This window comes from Homo sapiens, chromosome 14 (assembly GCF_000001405.40).
Source record: "Homo sapiens chromosome 14, GRCh38.p14 Primary Assembly".
NCBI classification, from domain to species: Eukaryota; Metazoa; Chordata; class Mammalia; order Primates; family Hominidae; genus Homo; species Homo sapiens.
The window spans coordinates 25,009,821-25,026,012 of record NC_000014.9 but is presented as its reverse complement, the minus strand read 5'-3'; the positions used below and the strand labels follow the sequence as shown (position 1 = coordinate 25,026,012).

Below are 16,192 nucleotides of genomic sequence, written 5' to 3'. Positions count from 1 at the left end.
GATACACGGAAGACAATGTGATCAGGGAGCAGCTGTGTATTTGCTGTGGTCTTTGAAGAGTAAAGCTATGGAAAGGGCAGTTGGGGAGCCAATTTTTGCAGGACCTTATTTACCAAGCTAAACAGTTGAGTGTTTATCCTTTGGGAGTAAGGAATCTTGAAGCCTGGAAATGGAATGATTGAATTTAGAGTTTAGAAAGAATCCTCTGACTTCATTTTAAGGGACTCCAAAAGGTGGTCACTGCTGTATTCTGAGAAACAGGACATTTTTATGAGTGTCCCTCGTGATACTTAACAGTGTGTAGTGCTTTCAGATTTGCAAAAGATTTTCTTTTGCCTTCATTTCTTTTGCAGTAGCCCTGAGGGATGCGGTGGCAATGAGTAAGGAAACAGGCTCAGAAAATTGACTTGCCCAAAGTCATATCTAGCAACACTGGCTGCATCAGGTCTCTTAATTCTACATCTTACACTGTTTGGACATGATGTTAAAACATTTTAGTATGTTGCTCAGTTATAAGAACACTTAAAGATAATCTGCAACCTGCATATCTTCTGTGTTTGCCCATTGATTAGACTGTCAGCTCCCTGAGGACTTCCAGTATTCCATTTGATGTGCCTTTGACACAAAGGCAGCCTTAGGGCAGACACCACCAAGAATCTGCCAGACTTTCTCCTCCAGAACCAGCATAGGGATAGGAAGAAGGAACATTTAGCAAAATGTCATTTTCCCTAATATATATCTCATTATGTGCACTTATTATCCAGCTTCTTTGTTTAAAACTCTGCTCTAAGTGTTGTGGGAAATACAAAATGTAAAATAATTAGATTTAAATTAAAAAAAAAAGCCTTCTCATGAGTTAAGCCTATCTGTCTTATTCAAATCCCACACACCAAAATTTCTTGGCTTTTTGTAACACATTTTCTTTTTAATGAATGTTGGATGTTGAAATCAAAAGGCCTTCTGCACAGGCTGATTAGAACTGTTAGGCTTACACATTTACTTTGCATTAGTTTGTGCAATAATTAGGTATAATATGGCACCTTTCCATGTGGGTATTTTTGAAACATAGAAACAACAACAAAAAAAATCATTAAATGGACATCATTTATTACAGAAGAAAGTTTTAGTTGACCAAAGGCCTATAATAATGCTTCATAAGTGAAAGTCATCTTGTGAATCACACTTAAAATTAATAGTCAACTGTAAGTTTTTGTCCCAACCTGCCCTCTACTGAATTAGCAGTGAAATTAAAGATGTAATCTTTTTTTATTATTATTATTTTAACACACCTGGCATCTGTTGCTATTTATGCTAGCAGTATTGCTAGGCTGTCTAGGAGTTGGAGAAAAGTCAAGTTCTAAATTATTCTCAGTATTAGAATCCATGTCAATTTAAAAGCATTTATTGAAATGATTTGTTGTTGATTGTCCTTTACTAACTTTGTATCAGAAAAGCTTTTGGGGCCCCAGAAGTAACTAGAGATCATTCAGTCCCAGGAGCTGGACTGGTGGAAAAACAAATTAGGAAACTGATCCCACAGGATCAAGTTCGTTCTTGAACTTACTACCTTTAACTTTGGATAACCTCTGAGCCTCTGGTTCCTTATCTGTGAAGTGAGGCTTCTGATAGTTTTTCACAGATTCTAAGACATTTTTGTTTATTTTACATTTTAACATAACTGAAAACAAAATTTTTTTTTTTTTTGAGTCAGAGTCTCACTCTGTCACCCAGGCTGGAGTGCAATGGCACAATCTCGGCTCACTGCAACCTCCGCCTCTCAGGTTAAAGCAATTCTTCTGCCTCAGCATCCTGAGTAGCTGGGACTACAGGCGTGTGCCACCATGCCCGGCTAATTTTTTGCATTTTTAGTAGAGACGGGGTTTCACCGTGTTAGCCAGGATGGTCTCGATCTCCTGACCTTGTGATCTGCCCACCTCGGCCTCCCAAAGTGCTGGGATTACAGGTGTGAGCCACCACGCCCGGCCAAGATGTGTTTTATAGTACATTGTTTGTTATGGTTTTGTGGTGTTTTTTCCTCCTAGTATAGTGGTACATAAAATAATCATGCATCTTATAATCAGTGATTTCTTATATTGCCAAATATGTGCCCTATCGACCTCCCAGGTTGTCAGGATCAAATCAGATAATATGTTTGCTAAAAGACTATGGCTGTACTAAGAAACAGAGAAGCAAAAGCACCTTTGTTTTTTGTTGCATTCCATTGCATTCCAGTCTTCTTCCATTGCCCAGGCTGGAATACAGTGGTATGATCATAGGTTACCTCCATCTTCTTGGCTCAAGTGATTGTCCCACCTCAGCCTCCTGAGTAGCCACCATACCTGGCTTATTTATAATTTTTTTTTCTTTTAAGAAACGGGGTCTTGCTATGTTGCCCAGGCTAGTCTCAAACTCCTGGCCTCAAGTAATCCTCTCACCTCAGCCTTCCATACTGTTGGGATTGCAGGCATGAGCCACCGCCCAGCCACAAAAGCACCTTTGGATGTCCCTTGACAGCCTCTCCCCCTTTTGTTATTTGTTATGATGAAACTTTATTTATATGTGTCTTAAAAATAAATTGGGAAGAGATGGAAAATGGCAACTGCAAATTTAGATGAATCAAGATATCAAATTTGTAAAAAATATTTGAAAACAAAAAGAATTTCAATAGTCATACAGTTGACTTTCTGACGGGCTTTTTTTTTTTCAAACAATATCTCAGTCGTGTTTGTCCTATTCCAAAAAACTTTCTGTGGAATCATGATACATTTATAGTAAAGTAGACTCCCATTTGATATTACACCTAATAGGATAAAATTCTACCAAGTTCAAACCATAGTTAATAATTAAAGACGTTAGAAGAGCATATCTTAATGATCCCCGCTTGTTTATAAGTGAAGTAGTCATTTGCATCCTTGGAATTCTGCTAAGAGTTTTCAGTGTCCTTGTTGAAGATTTTAAAATGCTTTTTGGAGACTTGTAGTACCAACATTCAGGTTAGGACCATGTTTTATGGCTGCTAATGCTAAAGTAACAAGTATCCCCTTACCCCATCTTCCCTTGCAATAAGAACTCTGAGGAAGGCCAGCTTTGGGTAGGAGAGGGGTGAGGTGTAGGAACATCATGAATTTCATTTTGGACAAATTGAATTGGAGATGAGTTTGAGGCATCCAAGTGGTGATGTTGAGTAGGCAGTTGAATTTGTGAGTCAGATAAAAATGTGGCATTTTCAGTATAGAGATGGTAGGTGAAGACTCAGTCTTGGATGAGATCACCTAGGAAACAAGTAGAGAAAGGAGGATTGGAACTAGAGATTGACAAGAAACCATCAGCCAGCAAACCTGTTTTATTTGGCCTGTGTAATGTTTTTAAAATATTTGAATGAGTTGCTGTAGCATATGTTTATGGTTTTTTGGCTGCCCAGTATCGATTTTCTTTTTTGGTAGCAGCACCTTAATTTCCTTTTGAGAAATTCTCTGTCCTCCAATCTCAGACTTTGTGTTATAGATCAAGTTCTACCTCTGACCCTAGATGAAGTGTGTGACCCAGGGTGAGCCAATCATTCCCCAACTTACCTGGCCGTAATGGTTGGTTCAAGAATGGACTTCTGATTCAAGTTGGCCCAATCACAGGGAATTCTGAGCCTATGGGGGAACTCTAGGAAGAGAGAGTTTCTTGTTTTCTGCTTAAACTTGGCAGGATGTGGCCTGGAGGTCTAGGAACTGCCTTGCTACCCTAGGGTAGAGCTTATCTGAGAGTGGAGACAACAAAGAAGTGGAATCCAGTTAAAGAAACTGGCCCTAATCATATCGATTAACCCTGGGCCACTATGTACTTCTAGGCTTTTAGTTAAATTAGCCAATACATTCTCCTTTTGGTGTAACTCATTTTGAACCAAGATTTCTTTTACTTGTACCAGAAAGAATTTTAATTGACACAGTTGCCAAGACTTTTAAAATTGTGAGTTTTCACATAGAAATCAGGATTTTTGTCTTGAGCTGAGTAACTTGTTCTAGTTGGAGCATGGGCTTTATTATAGGCCTATACCACTCCCTATTGTCATCTTCCCTTGATGCCTAGGATCTGTTGACAGTTATCTTGCTCATTCTACTGTGTTTTAAGTTGTATAATAGCGTTGAGAGGGAAATGAAAGTTGATTTGCTTCACTTAATTGTATTAGTTGCTTTCCCCTATGGGTAGCAAGGCCTTTGACCCCTTGTATAGAATGAAAAGAGAAAGGGGGCCTAGGTTCAAGCTTTGAGAAGCTTAAACCCTAAATAATAGGTAGAAGAGGACAAGTCTGTAAGGAGAAGGGAGCCATGGCAGTAGAAAGGAAAGCATCGGTCATGGAGGACAAGGTAAGGAGTTTTCAGGGAGAAATTGGTCAACATTGCCAATACCATCAAGATGTCAACTGGTTTGAATTTGGCAACAAAGTGGTCATTGACTTGAACTGGAGGTGTTATAGTGAGTGATGGGGCCAAGCCAGATTGCTGTGGGTTGAAAAATGAATAGGAGGTGAAAAAAAATGAAGACACCCTATTCTTCTATTTTTCCTGTAACGGGAAACTGATAAATAAGGCAGTAACTAGAGTCATGTGAGGCAGAGTTGGAGTGCTTTAAAGGCAGGACTTGAGTATGCTGAAGTGATGATGGGAAGAATCTAGTTGAAAGGGAGAAATTGATTGCATAAACAGGAGAGGAAAGGGAGAATTGATCATGTGAGCCTGAAAAGGTAGGATGGAGTGGAATCTGAAGCCCAAATGGAGTGGTTGGCCTAAGATGAAAGGAGAGAACAAGATGCAACAGGAGGGAAGAAGCTGAAGGCTGCTACAATTGTAAATTAGTCTGATGGTGGGAAGTTGCTGGATGAGATGGCCTCCACCTGAGAATGACTATTTGGGAATGGGGGTGGTGGTGGTGTGGATGTCAGAAGTGTTAGGTGGAGGTTTAAGAGTGAACTAGTCATTGAGGAGAGTGAGAGAATGGTGAGAATGATTTGGTAAGAGAAATGTGGTAGGGTTGCCCAGCCTGGCTGAGAATGCATTTGCAGTTGGTACTCACGAATCTGCCTGCGTATGGCTTTCTCCAGTGTCCAGGTGCACAGTTGTAGACACAGACAGAGATACAGTAGGCATCATCTAAGACTGGGGTTGGGCGGAAGGGGAAAGACAAAGGGAGGTTGAGCAAGGCAAGTTAGGGCATTTTGCAGCAGTGCTATGGAAAGCGTGTTATCAAAACCACGACCATTAGAAAGGAAGCTGAGTGAGAAGGGATGTGCAGTGACACTTCTGATGAGGCCCAAATGGTTGATCACAGTGAAGGATTTTAATAAGGAAGCTGAAGCTGAGGATATTGTAGTCAAAGGGTAGACCATTTGATGGGTGGTAGGTGTCTCAGGTGGAGTGGAAGAGAATGTCGTTGAATGTGAGGACATTCAGAGACATTTCAGAAAACAGAAACCAGAGTTTCGATAGGGTTGGGTATTGAGGTTGTCTATGTGATTGCAGGATTAGGGGAGGAGAGGCAGAATTTGGTCAGGGTTCGAATGATTTAATTGGATTGGTTATTTGTTAAGAACAGATTTTCTATTTCCTCTAAACCTCCTTACCTTTGATTTCATTGGAAATTCAGCTGGAGGAGTATATTTGGGTTCACCTCTTTGTTTTCAAAATATATACTAGGAGTGATATTTTATCAGAAAAAAATGTATCTTTAATCACTTTATGTTACTAGAGAAAATGTAAGTCATTTAAACATCTTGAGTTCCTAGAATTTTTAGTTGCTGGGATAATTTGGTTCTCCTTTTTGCCTCACATGGTCATATTGCCTCTGAAGGTGACTGGCAGTGCAATCAAAACCTTCAAGAACAGGCCAAGTTTAACTGAATCCCTTGTGGCTGTCACTGTGATGAGCTTTGGAGAGTAAGTAGGAAGCTGTGTTGGAGACATCTGTTGTCATGTGTAATGTATATCAGGCTTTGGCAGTAACTGAAACCAAGCAGGCCCATCAGTCTATAGTTTATATGCAGTAATCTTAGAGCTCAAAAATTACTTCTGTGAATGGCAAATCGTTGGACAGAACCAGCATTTTTTATACTTGAGAGGGAAAGGAGTTTGAAAGACTCACCAAAAAAAAAAAAAAAAACCCACGAAACTTGTATTTTATAATAAGATACTAAACTTGATCATCTCAAAACATCTGACGGTTGTGATAAAAATCCTTACTGCCTAGTCAATATGCAGAAATCTATAATCTAAAAAAGAATTTGGTCATGCAGTTTTCAGATACAGCTCTATTTGTTACTGATTCTGGAAAGATTAGGTAAATAAAGCATGGGGCAAGAGTGTCCAGGTTTCCTGCTGAGGATGATGAGCAAAGATGGCAGAAGTCCCTCAGCACTCAAGATATCTGCTGTGGAATGAAATGTCTTATAGCTTACAGCAGTTTTGCTGCCAACCAGGCAATTCACTCTGTTTTCTTTAAATCTATTTCCTTATGTTAGGATAGGGAAAAGTAAAGGCAAAAGGAGGAATGAATAAGTCCAACATGATATAGATTGTCCTTTTCTTTGACTCTTTTGTGTTTATTGTTTGTCTATGTAATTTACTAAGTTAGCTCTTTGATAGATTCTTAAGGTTGTGAAAAATCTTGGATTTTTTTTTCTCAAACTATTCCCAAGGAAAGAATCACTTCTCTGTACAACTCAAGGCTTAACAATCCACAAGTTCCTTTAGACCCCCAGATATTAGAGAGTCCTGAGACTTGGATTCTCCTACCTTGAGCTTCAGGCCTTTAAGGATTGCTTCAATTGTCTCTAGTAAGAACATAAAGTTTCTGATAAGCATTATAACTGAATTACCTGCTTTGTTCTCAGCATGTTTCTATGGACAAATGATTAGTTCATTCTGGACATAAGCCTTCTGTGGCTTCTTATTCTCCCATACTTTTGTGTACATCTTCACTAGGCATAGTAAAAAGTGTGGAAGATGAGGTAGAAGCCTACCGAGTATTGCTTCTTGGGCTCAACAGAGCAGAAAGGAATTGAGTTAAATTGCAGCCAAGGAGCCCTAGCCTCCTTAAGATCCTCTAGCAATTGTCAGTTGAGATTGTAAACTGCCAAGAATAATGTCTGGCCCATGGTGTGTTCTTAGTTGGTGGTAGCTATTCTTATTGGGCCTGGGTGGTTGATCAGAAAGATCCTACATTGAAGAATTTTATAAACTAAGAACTTATTGCATAGGCAGGTCAAGGCTAGAAACAGACTTCAGCATCTACAGTGTGACATAGAAGGAAGCAATGGTCTAGAGAGGTTGGTGACTGTCCCTAGGCCATATTGTGTATATTGGCAGATTGAGACCAGGACACAGCTCTGTGGATTCCTGAACCAGGTTTTTCCTGCTATGCCAACATTCATGACTCTGAAAATCACCCTTGAGGAAGGAGTGTGGAAAGATGGGGAGAAAGAGATAGAGTGTCAGGAGAGTGCCCTAACCCTGGGTGGCAATGCCAAAGAATGGCATAGAATATAGAGGTTTGGGGCCCCCTGATATTTTATTATATTACCCCTCTCAGATGGTTGGCTTCTACCTCTGGTATTTTTAGTAAATTCTGGGTTGGTACTTTGTAAAACCGGGAGGGTTTAGGGTCTTAGGGATAACTCTAGTTTACCATTATTAAAGATCACTCTGTGGGAACTAGGGGGGTCTAGTGCATTGCTGCCTAGGCCTGGGGTAGGCACCCACGCTAGTATTTAGCTGTGTTAGGAGTCAGTTGCAGGCAAGTCAGAAGCCACGGGCAATGGCTGGCATTGGAGATGTATTAAGAATCTCCGGAAGTCCTATTTATGCACACTGGAGGAAGAATGGGAAGATAAAAAAGCAGTACAACACAATGGTGATAGAACAGAAAGGAAGACATACAAAGATCAGGTTAAGAATGTGTTTTCTGGATGTGCTGAGCAGGGGGGCAGTGTATGGTGTGTTATAGAGAAGTCTTGTGATTGCTTACTTGAGGAGAAGACCTATGGGTGATCCACGACCAAGAGCATTTGGAAAGAGAAAATTCAGGATAGAAGCCTGAGCAAACAGAACAACTACTGAATTTGAGCTACTGGATAGCAAGCAGAGATTCACACTCAACGGGTGAGGCAATTGAGCCTCACAGTTGGAGCTCGCAACCACTGTGCTACCTTGCCCACTGTGAACCAAGGCCTGGGGAAACCACAGGGTCCAGTAAGTCCTCAGGGCTCCAGATGCTATCTTCCTCCCATGTTTGTTCTGAGAGTTGGAAGAAAACTCTCTTGAAAGCACTCCTGCTCTTTAATGTTCCCCAGGGATTACTTAGAGCCAAGTAAGTCATTGAGATGTATTGTGGCCCAAGGCCACCCTTAATCAAATGACCACAACTTGTAGGTTCCCCTGGAGTCTCTGATCTTTGAATACATTGCATCCTTACCTTATACTGTCAAGCTTTTATCTTGGTAACCAAGTATCAACTGGTATTCCCTGCCCTTTGGATCAACCCAAAGCCTTCTAGTGACTTATACTTCCTCTGCCTCTGAGTTTCTGCTTCCTAAAAAGCTGTTTCTGCATCTCTCATGGAGATTCTGAATACAGCATTTCCCTCATACCAGTTTCCATAGGAAATCTAGTCCCATCAGATAGGCTTTAGTGAACACTTGAAGAGTCACAGTATGACATGGGTGGTCTTTCACCAGCTCTGCCAATTCTATCCCTATTTCATATTCTTTCTCCCTTGAACATTAATCAAAGTTCTACCCACATAGGGGCGGCCGTAGAGGAGTGAGAAGTCCTTCCTTTTATACCCTACCAACTAGCACAAATACATTCTGTTTATTTTCCAAGAATTCTGGTGAATAAAAAATTCTTATTACACACGCTTGTGCTTAAGTGCAAATATGTAAAATTAGAGATACTACTTTATACCTGGCATCTAGTTGACCAGGTTACTGATTCTGCCATTACTGGACTATTTGTAGTAATTTCTAAGAAGCGTTTAACTGCATACTCCGCACTATGTACTATACAGCTGGACGGCACTTACCTCCAATTTCTCCTATTTCCTCTATCTGCCAACTTCTTTTCTTCAATGCAAGCCTTATAATTTTCCTTTTAGTTCTCATACCAAATACACATGTAATTAGAGCCCGAAGTATTGTGTGAAGCCATGCCATCTCCTTTTCTACATGCTTCCTTGTAGCCTGGAATATATTGTTTATTTTTTTAAAGTTTTATGCTTTCCTAGCTTAATTTTATGATTCCAGCAATCCTTTTCACATCCTATTTAGTAAGTTCACAAACCAGGAGTCTCCCTGATAGTAAAAACACATCAAGCATGTTCTTTTGCGTAAAAGTTGTATGTGACATGTAGGCATTTTAAGACTTGGATTTCTTTCTCTAGAATGTGAATTTCTTACGATCTTTTTGGCGTGGATTTTCAGAATTCCTTTACACTTGAAAAGAGCTATGAGGGATTTAGTAAAACTGGAAAATAGATCCCCACTACAAAGGATTTGGGTGGGGAAGGCCAGGAAATACTCACTCTCTGAGGATTGCCTAGGACCTCAGTAACTGTGATTCTTTCTAGGTTCAAGGAATTAGGGCTCTGGTACCATTTCTGATTAGCACAAAGTAAAGAGGAAGCTAACTCCATTTTAATTTTTTTTTAAAGAAAAAATTAATTTCTACCCTGGGGAAAATAGAGTCAATCTTTAAAATAGATAACAGTATTTACTGATGAGGCTAAACAAATAGAAGTTTGTAAAAATCTTTTTTTCCTTGGGTGAAAAAGAAGAATAAAAGGGGAAAGTAGGAAAAAAGTATAATAGGTTATAATAAGAATAGTAGGTAGCATTTATTGAGCGTGCATGGTGTTAGGCACTCACCTAAGCATTTTTCATTTCTCATCTCAACTATTACAACAGCCCTCTGACACTTCCACTCATAACTTTATTTTTTAGTTGAGGAACCCATAATGCAAGAGAAGCTGCACAGTGTCTCCAAGGTCACACAGCTAGTCAATGGCAGATCAGCAATTTTAACCTTGGCAGTTGGTTCAAAGTTCACACTCTTAGCTACAAGGTGACACTGCCATATGTTGAGTTGTTTGACTTTTTTCCTCACTTTGAGTTCAGCCTCCCAGAATATGTGTAAAGCACAGGAGAAGTAGCAGTTTGAGCTTTTTTTTTTTTTTCCTTGTTGTTGTTTGTTAATTTAATAACAGGGTTACAAAAAAAGGCACTATGCAGTCTAAATCAACTTTAATTAGACCCGTGTGGAAAACATAACAATTATCCACACCAAATTTCTAACATTTTTCTTTTTTCATGTTCAATTATTAATAGTCATTGGTGCACATATTCTTTCAGTTATTTTCTAAGTGAAATAATTGAAACTTGCTCCGGGATTCTGACTGTTGCCTAGTTCTTTAAGAATCTTTATCAAAAGGATTTTTTTTTTCTAAAAAATAATAAATCCATTTCTTTTTGTGGGATGAACTTTCCCTTGGAGAATATTGTCTTGCCAGGTGTGGAATCTTGACATTAAATTAAACTCCTTTATTTTCTGCCTCCCTGGGGCTAATGGAAGGGGTGGAGACTGTGGGTTGGGTGGGCAGGGTATGTGTCTGGAACAGGGGGTATAGAGGAGTGCACAAGAGGCCCCTTCATTAGGTCCCAGATATCTCTGTCTCCAGCTTCCTGCACTGAAACTGAGGTTTTAGAAGAACCAGAGAAATCCCCTTGATCCAGGTTGTTCAAATGTGATTTTTTTTTAAAGCAGTTCTCTTTTATTTTGTAGAGAAAAAGATAATGGTTATCTTTCCCTTCCCCAATGTAAATAAGGGTGTTCTCATACTGCTTTTAGAATTCAATTTTAAAATCCCTCAATGATAGTTTTCAGTATTTTCTTCATTATAATACTGTTCGTTTATCTAAGTCAAAAGGCTCATAGAAATATAACCAATGAAATATTATGTAAAAGCAGCCATCAATAGAGCTTTGATATAAGTGATTTAAAAGTAAAAAAGTTATGGTATTCTCCAACATTTAAAATAATATGGTAATTACAGAAAATTTGGGAGATTGAGAGAAATAGAAGCAAAGAAAATCAAATTCTCATATTCCCTATATCCAAGAGAAAAAAAAGTACTGTTTTCATGTATTTTCTTTTTATGTGAAAAGCTTTTTAAACAGTTTTCTGTGTAGAGTTTTTGTTTATCTTTCTTGGTTATCATACTATAAATACAGTTTTGTTCTCTGCTTTGTTGGAGAGATGTCTACGGTTCAGAGACAGCTGACTCAGAACTTCTTTGCAGAACATACCCTGTCACAGTTCACCTTTGCAAATCTTTGGCTGATAGCCTAGTTTATCAAGTGTTCTGTGGACACGGACTCTGTGCCTTGCACGGTAGCTGAGTGTGCAAGGCTTGCCTCTCAGCATCTCACAGTATAGGTGGAGAAGTCAAGAGAAGACAAGTAGACATTTTCATGGCTGCTTTTAATTTTTATTTTATTTTATTTATTTATTTAGAGACAGGGTCTCCCTCTGTCGCCCAGGCTGGAATGCAGCAGTACGATCTTGGCTCATTGCAACCTGTGCCTCCCAGGTTCAAGCGACTCTCCTGCCTCAGTCTCCTGAGCCCAGCTGATTTTTGTATTTTTGGTAGAGAAGGGGTTACACCATGTTGGCCAGGCTGGTTTTGAACTCCTGGCCTCAAGTGATCCACCTGCCTCGGCCTCTCAAAGTGCTGGGATTACAGGCGTGAGCCACCACACCCAGCCATATTTTTAACTTTTTGGTACAGAAAATTTCAAACGTACACAGGAGTACAAGAGAATATAATAGCAGACCCTATGTGCCTCTCTCTCAGCTTCAACAATGGTTAATTTATGGCCAATCTTGTTTCATCTAGATCTTAGCCTCCTCTCTCTACCAGGGATTATGTTGAAACAAATCCGTGACATCCTATTATTTTATTAGTAAATATTTGGGTACACATCTCTAAAAGATAAGGACTCTTTTTTAATACTATTAATGCCATTATTACACTAAAAAAATTCTCTAACAATCAAATATGGGCTATTTAGTCAGTGTTCACATTTGTTTGTTTTTCTCATTATTTTTCTCTTTAGTTTGTAACAGTATCCACATAAGGTCTACACATTGCAGTTGATTGACATGCCTCTTCAGTCCCTTTTAATCTGTGGATTCACCCTTCACTATCTTTTCCTTGTGATCTATTTTTTTTTTTTTTTGTCAAATGGGATCATTTATTCTGTAAATTTTTCCCACTGGCTGGATTTTGCTGATTCCATCTCATGGAGTTAAATGTTAAATGTTCCTCTGTTTAACATATTCCTCTAGCCTCTGTATTTCTTGTGAACTGGTAGTTACATTTAGAGGCTAGATTGAATTCTGTTTCAATTTTTTGTCAAAAGTACTATATGAGCAGTGTTATGTATTCCCATGAGAAGACACTTACCTTTAGGGGTGTGTGTGTGTGTGTGTGTGTGTGTGTGTGTGTGTGAAAGAGAGATGTTGATAGCCAATGGTGATTTTGCTGTCTAAATCCATCAATTCATTAGGAGTTTTAAAATGTTATTTCATGTCAATCATTTCTCCATTTATTAGCTAGACTACTTCTATGAAGAATAATCTAGCCAATCCAATCATCTGTTTGGCTATCCTGAGGTACAGTTGTATAGAAAAGGCAAGAAAAATGTTCGATTCTTTCCATTTATCTACCAGTTTTCAAAATATTTGGCTCCCTAGCATCCAGAGATAACCAATTTGGGGAGCTGGGGAAAGAGAAAAAGAGAAATTGGTGGCTCATCAAGAATTCATTAATTTAAAATATTTGATGTTTCAAACCATTACATTGATTCTTTGTTGTTGTTGTTAAGAGGTGGGGTCTTTCTCTGTCATGTAGGCTGGAGTGCCGTGCAACTATCGTAGCTCACTGCAGCCTCAGACTACTGGGTTCAAGCAATCCTCCCACCTCAGCCTCCCAAAGTGCTGGGATTACAGGCATAAGCCACCTTCCAGGCCATTTCCTTTATTCTTATTGAAACTAAAATTGTCTCATCTTTGGCCGATGGGAATCCCTTTGTGTGGTCTCCTGAATCCTTTTGATATATAACCTTAATAGTCTTTGAGTTTCCCTGCTTTTTGTATGCTAGGCCAATGGTTCTCAAAGTGTAGTCTGAGGATGCCTAGGGGTTCTCAAGACCCTATTAGTGAGTCCATAAGGTCAAAACAATTTTCATAATAATAAGACATAATTTACCTGTTTTATTCTTATTCTCTTACCTGTATATAGTGAAGTTTTCTAGAAACCATATATTGACTATTGGAATGTATGTTTTTTTGTTTGTTTGTTTGTTTTTTTGTTTTTGAGACAGAGCCTTGCTTTGTTGCCCAGGCTGCAGTGCAGTGGTGCAATCTCAGCTCACTGCAACCTCCACCTCCTGGGTTCAAGTGATTGTGATTCCTCTGCCTCAGACTCCCAGATAGCTGGGACTACTGGCACTAGTAGAGATGGGGCTTTGCCATATTGGCCAGGCTGGTCTCAAACTCCTGGCCTCGAGTACCCCCACCTCGGCCTCCCAAAGTGCTGGGATTACACATGTGAGCCAACATGCCTGACTGTGTGCATGCATGTTCTTATGTTTTCTAGAATTTTTTAAGGTAAGCTCTTTGAAGTCTTGAATAATTTCTAAGAGTGTAAAGGCGTCCTAAGACCAACAAACTTGAGAACTACTATTCTAGGCTCATCTTTTATGTTTCATGCTACATACATATAATCACTTGTGGCCTTATAAATTAGCTCCATTTTTTTTAACTCCATTTTTGTGTATGCCTGAGTGATCTGCTTCAAGTCTCACAGCTAATAAGTGGCAAAACTAGAATTTGACTCTAGTCAAATCTGAGACTGCAGTGAGCTGTTTTTGTCCCGTTGTACTGCACCTGGGTGACAGAACGAGATCCTGTCTCACAAACAAAAACAAAAAACAGCCAGTACTCCGAATATGTTGCTTTTCTGGTCACAGTAGGAAATTCAAAATGTAGTAATAGTTTTTTAGAGTATTGACTTTTGAAGATCTCAGTCATCCAGAGAAGAGCCTGCCTTGCCTGTGGAATTCGTTAATGGCTCATATGTTTTCCACTAATTTGTGAACCCAGGATCCAATCTATTGCTCACCTATGTAGCTTAGAAATACTTTTTTTTCATCCTGTAGTTGGCTGAACCAAATCCTGCAAGAAAACATGCTGCAATTTTAAAAGCTGAATAATGGTGCCTTAAGCCTGGGACTCTCATTTATTTTTATCACTGAACAGTATATAAATCTCTAAAAATGGCTACTTAAAATATAACTGGATTTTGTAGTCTCTGGGGCTCAGGGAAAACATTATTTTGTCTCATTCTCTTGGACTGAACCCAGTAACGTGCCATTTTGTCACAATGCCCAATAACCTTAGCTTCTCTTGGCTAATGAACAACATTAGCTCTTATTTCCCAGGTATGAAAGAGTTTCTATCATGAGAAAAGGAAGTGTGTTTCCAAAACAGTTAGCAGTGGCTTTCTGAAGTTAGTGCATATACAGGAGAGGAGCAGTCTTATGTAATATCCTTGAGTATTTTTCCAACATAGGAAATACTTGACGGTACCTGACAGCCTCAGGTGCCATCTGGAAAAGTGTCATCTTGTAGGAAGCTTGGATCAGAGCCTGTGTGTCATAATATGTCAGGTGTGTCATAATTACTTTGTGGTTCTGGTGGGGAGTGAAACAAAGACTATGTCAAAGGTTGCAGGGTTCTTAATGGAATATAAATTTCTTTGTTGGAAAGTAGATCTTTAATACTAAACTAGTTTTTGTAGTTATAGACAAATTCATTTTGCACTGTAGCCTTGCTTGTTATTTTTCTCAACATTAAATCTGCCATTGTGAAACGGTCTCAATATCTGATTTAAGTAATTAGTTGCATTTAGATTTCTATATTTAGACTGTCATTTTCATGGGCTTTTCCAGCAAGTCATCTCATTGACTTTGTTGAAGGTAGTTTTAGAATACAGAAAGTCAGTATGTAAAGTAGAAAGGTGGTTCTTTCATAGGATGGGCTTTGAAACTCCACACCACCACCATTGGTCTTGTCAAAATTTTGTTTTCTTTCATGTTTGTCACTTTGACCAAATCCTATCCCCCAAAGAAAAGAAAAAAAAAATCATCAAACAGACCCGTCTCCACATGCAAAGCATGTAGTATATGATGATGGGAGCCTGGAACTTACAGCTGGGGAATGCCAGGAATTTGGGGTTCTAGTGTCACTAAGGCTCCGCCTTTCTGTGCTTTAGTTTCCTGTTTAGAAAGTTCTGCTCCTTCATAAGGACCTTGAAGTACTAGGAGGAAAGGTGCTTTGTGTGTGGAGTTTTCCATGAAGTGCAGTCCCAACTAAAAGGCTGCGTTAAAGGTAGGTAAATGCCTTATAAAAACATATTTTAAATACAAAACATTTGTTAATTTATGCCACTTATTTATTTATTTAAGTATAAAATAGCCTCAGGCAATTGGAATTCAGATTTAAAATTCAGGTTTTGTTTATTGAATTCTCTTGCTAAGAGCAAAGAATGTAAAGGCTTGGGAAGTAGAAATTGGAACGCATTTTAATTGCCTGAATAGGTTTACCGGAGAAGAAGTTTTATTAACGTGGAAACATGTTCTTCCTCTGAGTCTGATTAGAGGCTACTTTGGGCTAGTCCATAAATCTCTTTTCAAATCTAAAGTGAGCATAACCATCATAAAGTGAGCCATAACTTAACAGCTCTTCCTGAGGACTGCCTTGGCTAGAGTTTCTATGGTGAGAACTCAGAATTCCAGGAATGCATGTTGAGCTGGAATCTCTCATATCAGTGATTCCCAAAGAGGAATGAGGGTGTGTCCGAATCTCCAAGTGTGCTTTTGAAGCTCTGAAGACCTCTTTTCCTTTGCCCGGGAGCTCAGTGAGCCACTGTTGTTAGCAGTTGTGTTTGGTATCTTTAGGTGTTTTAGTGAAAAAACAACTGAAGTTAGGCTGATGAGGAGAGTTGGGGGTAGCCTGTTAGCATTTCTCCCTGGAGAGTGCCACTCACTCTAGAAAAAGTAAATAATGGCTTTGAATGATTTGTAGTCCATACA

General features: G+C 39.1%; 1 protein-coding gene across 25 annotated transcripts in view; it reads left to right on the top strand.

Moving 5' to 3' along the window:
* The window catches only part of STXBP6 (syntaxin binding protein 6), a 240,694-nt gene that overhangs the window by 24,135 nt on the left and 200,367 nt on the right, over positions 1 to 16,192 (top strand). For 10 of the 25 annotated variants that reach the window (NM_001304476.3, XM_047431293.1, NM_001394419.1 and 7 more), the window contains one exon: positions 15,373 to 15,488. The exons of the other annotated variants lie outside the window; for them this stretch is intronic. The gene's annotated coding sequence lies outside the window, so the exon portion shown is untranslated. Of the gene's footprint in view, positions 1 to 15,372; positions 15,489 to 16,192 lie in introns of those variants that run through there. 25 annotated transcript variants of the gene reach the window in all.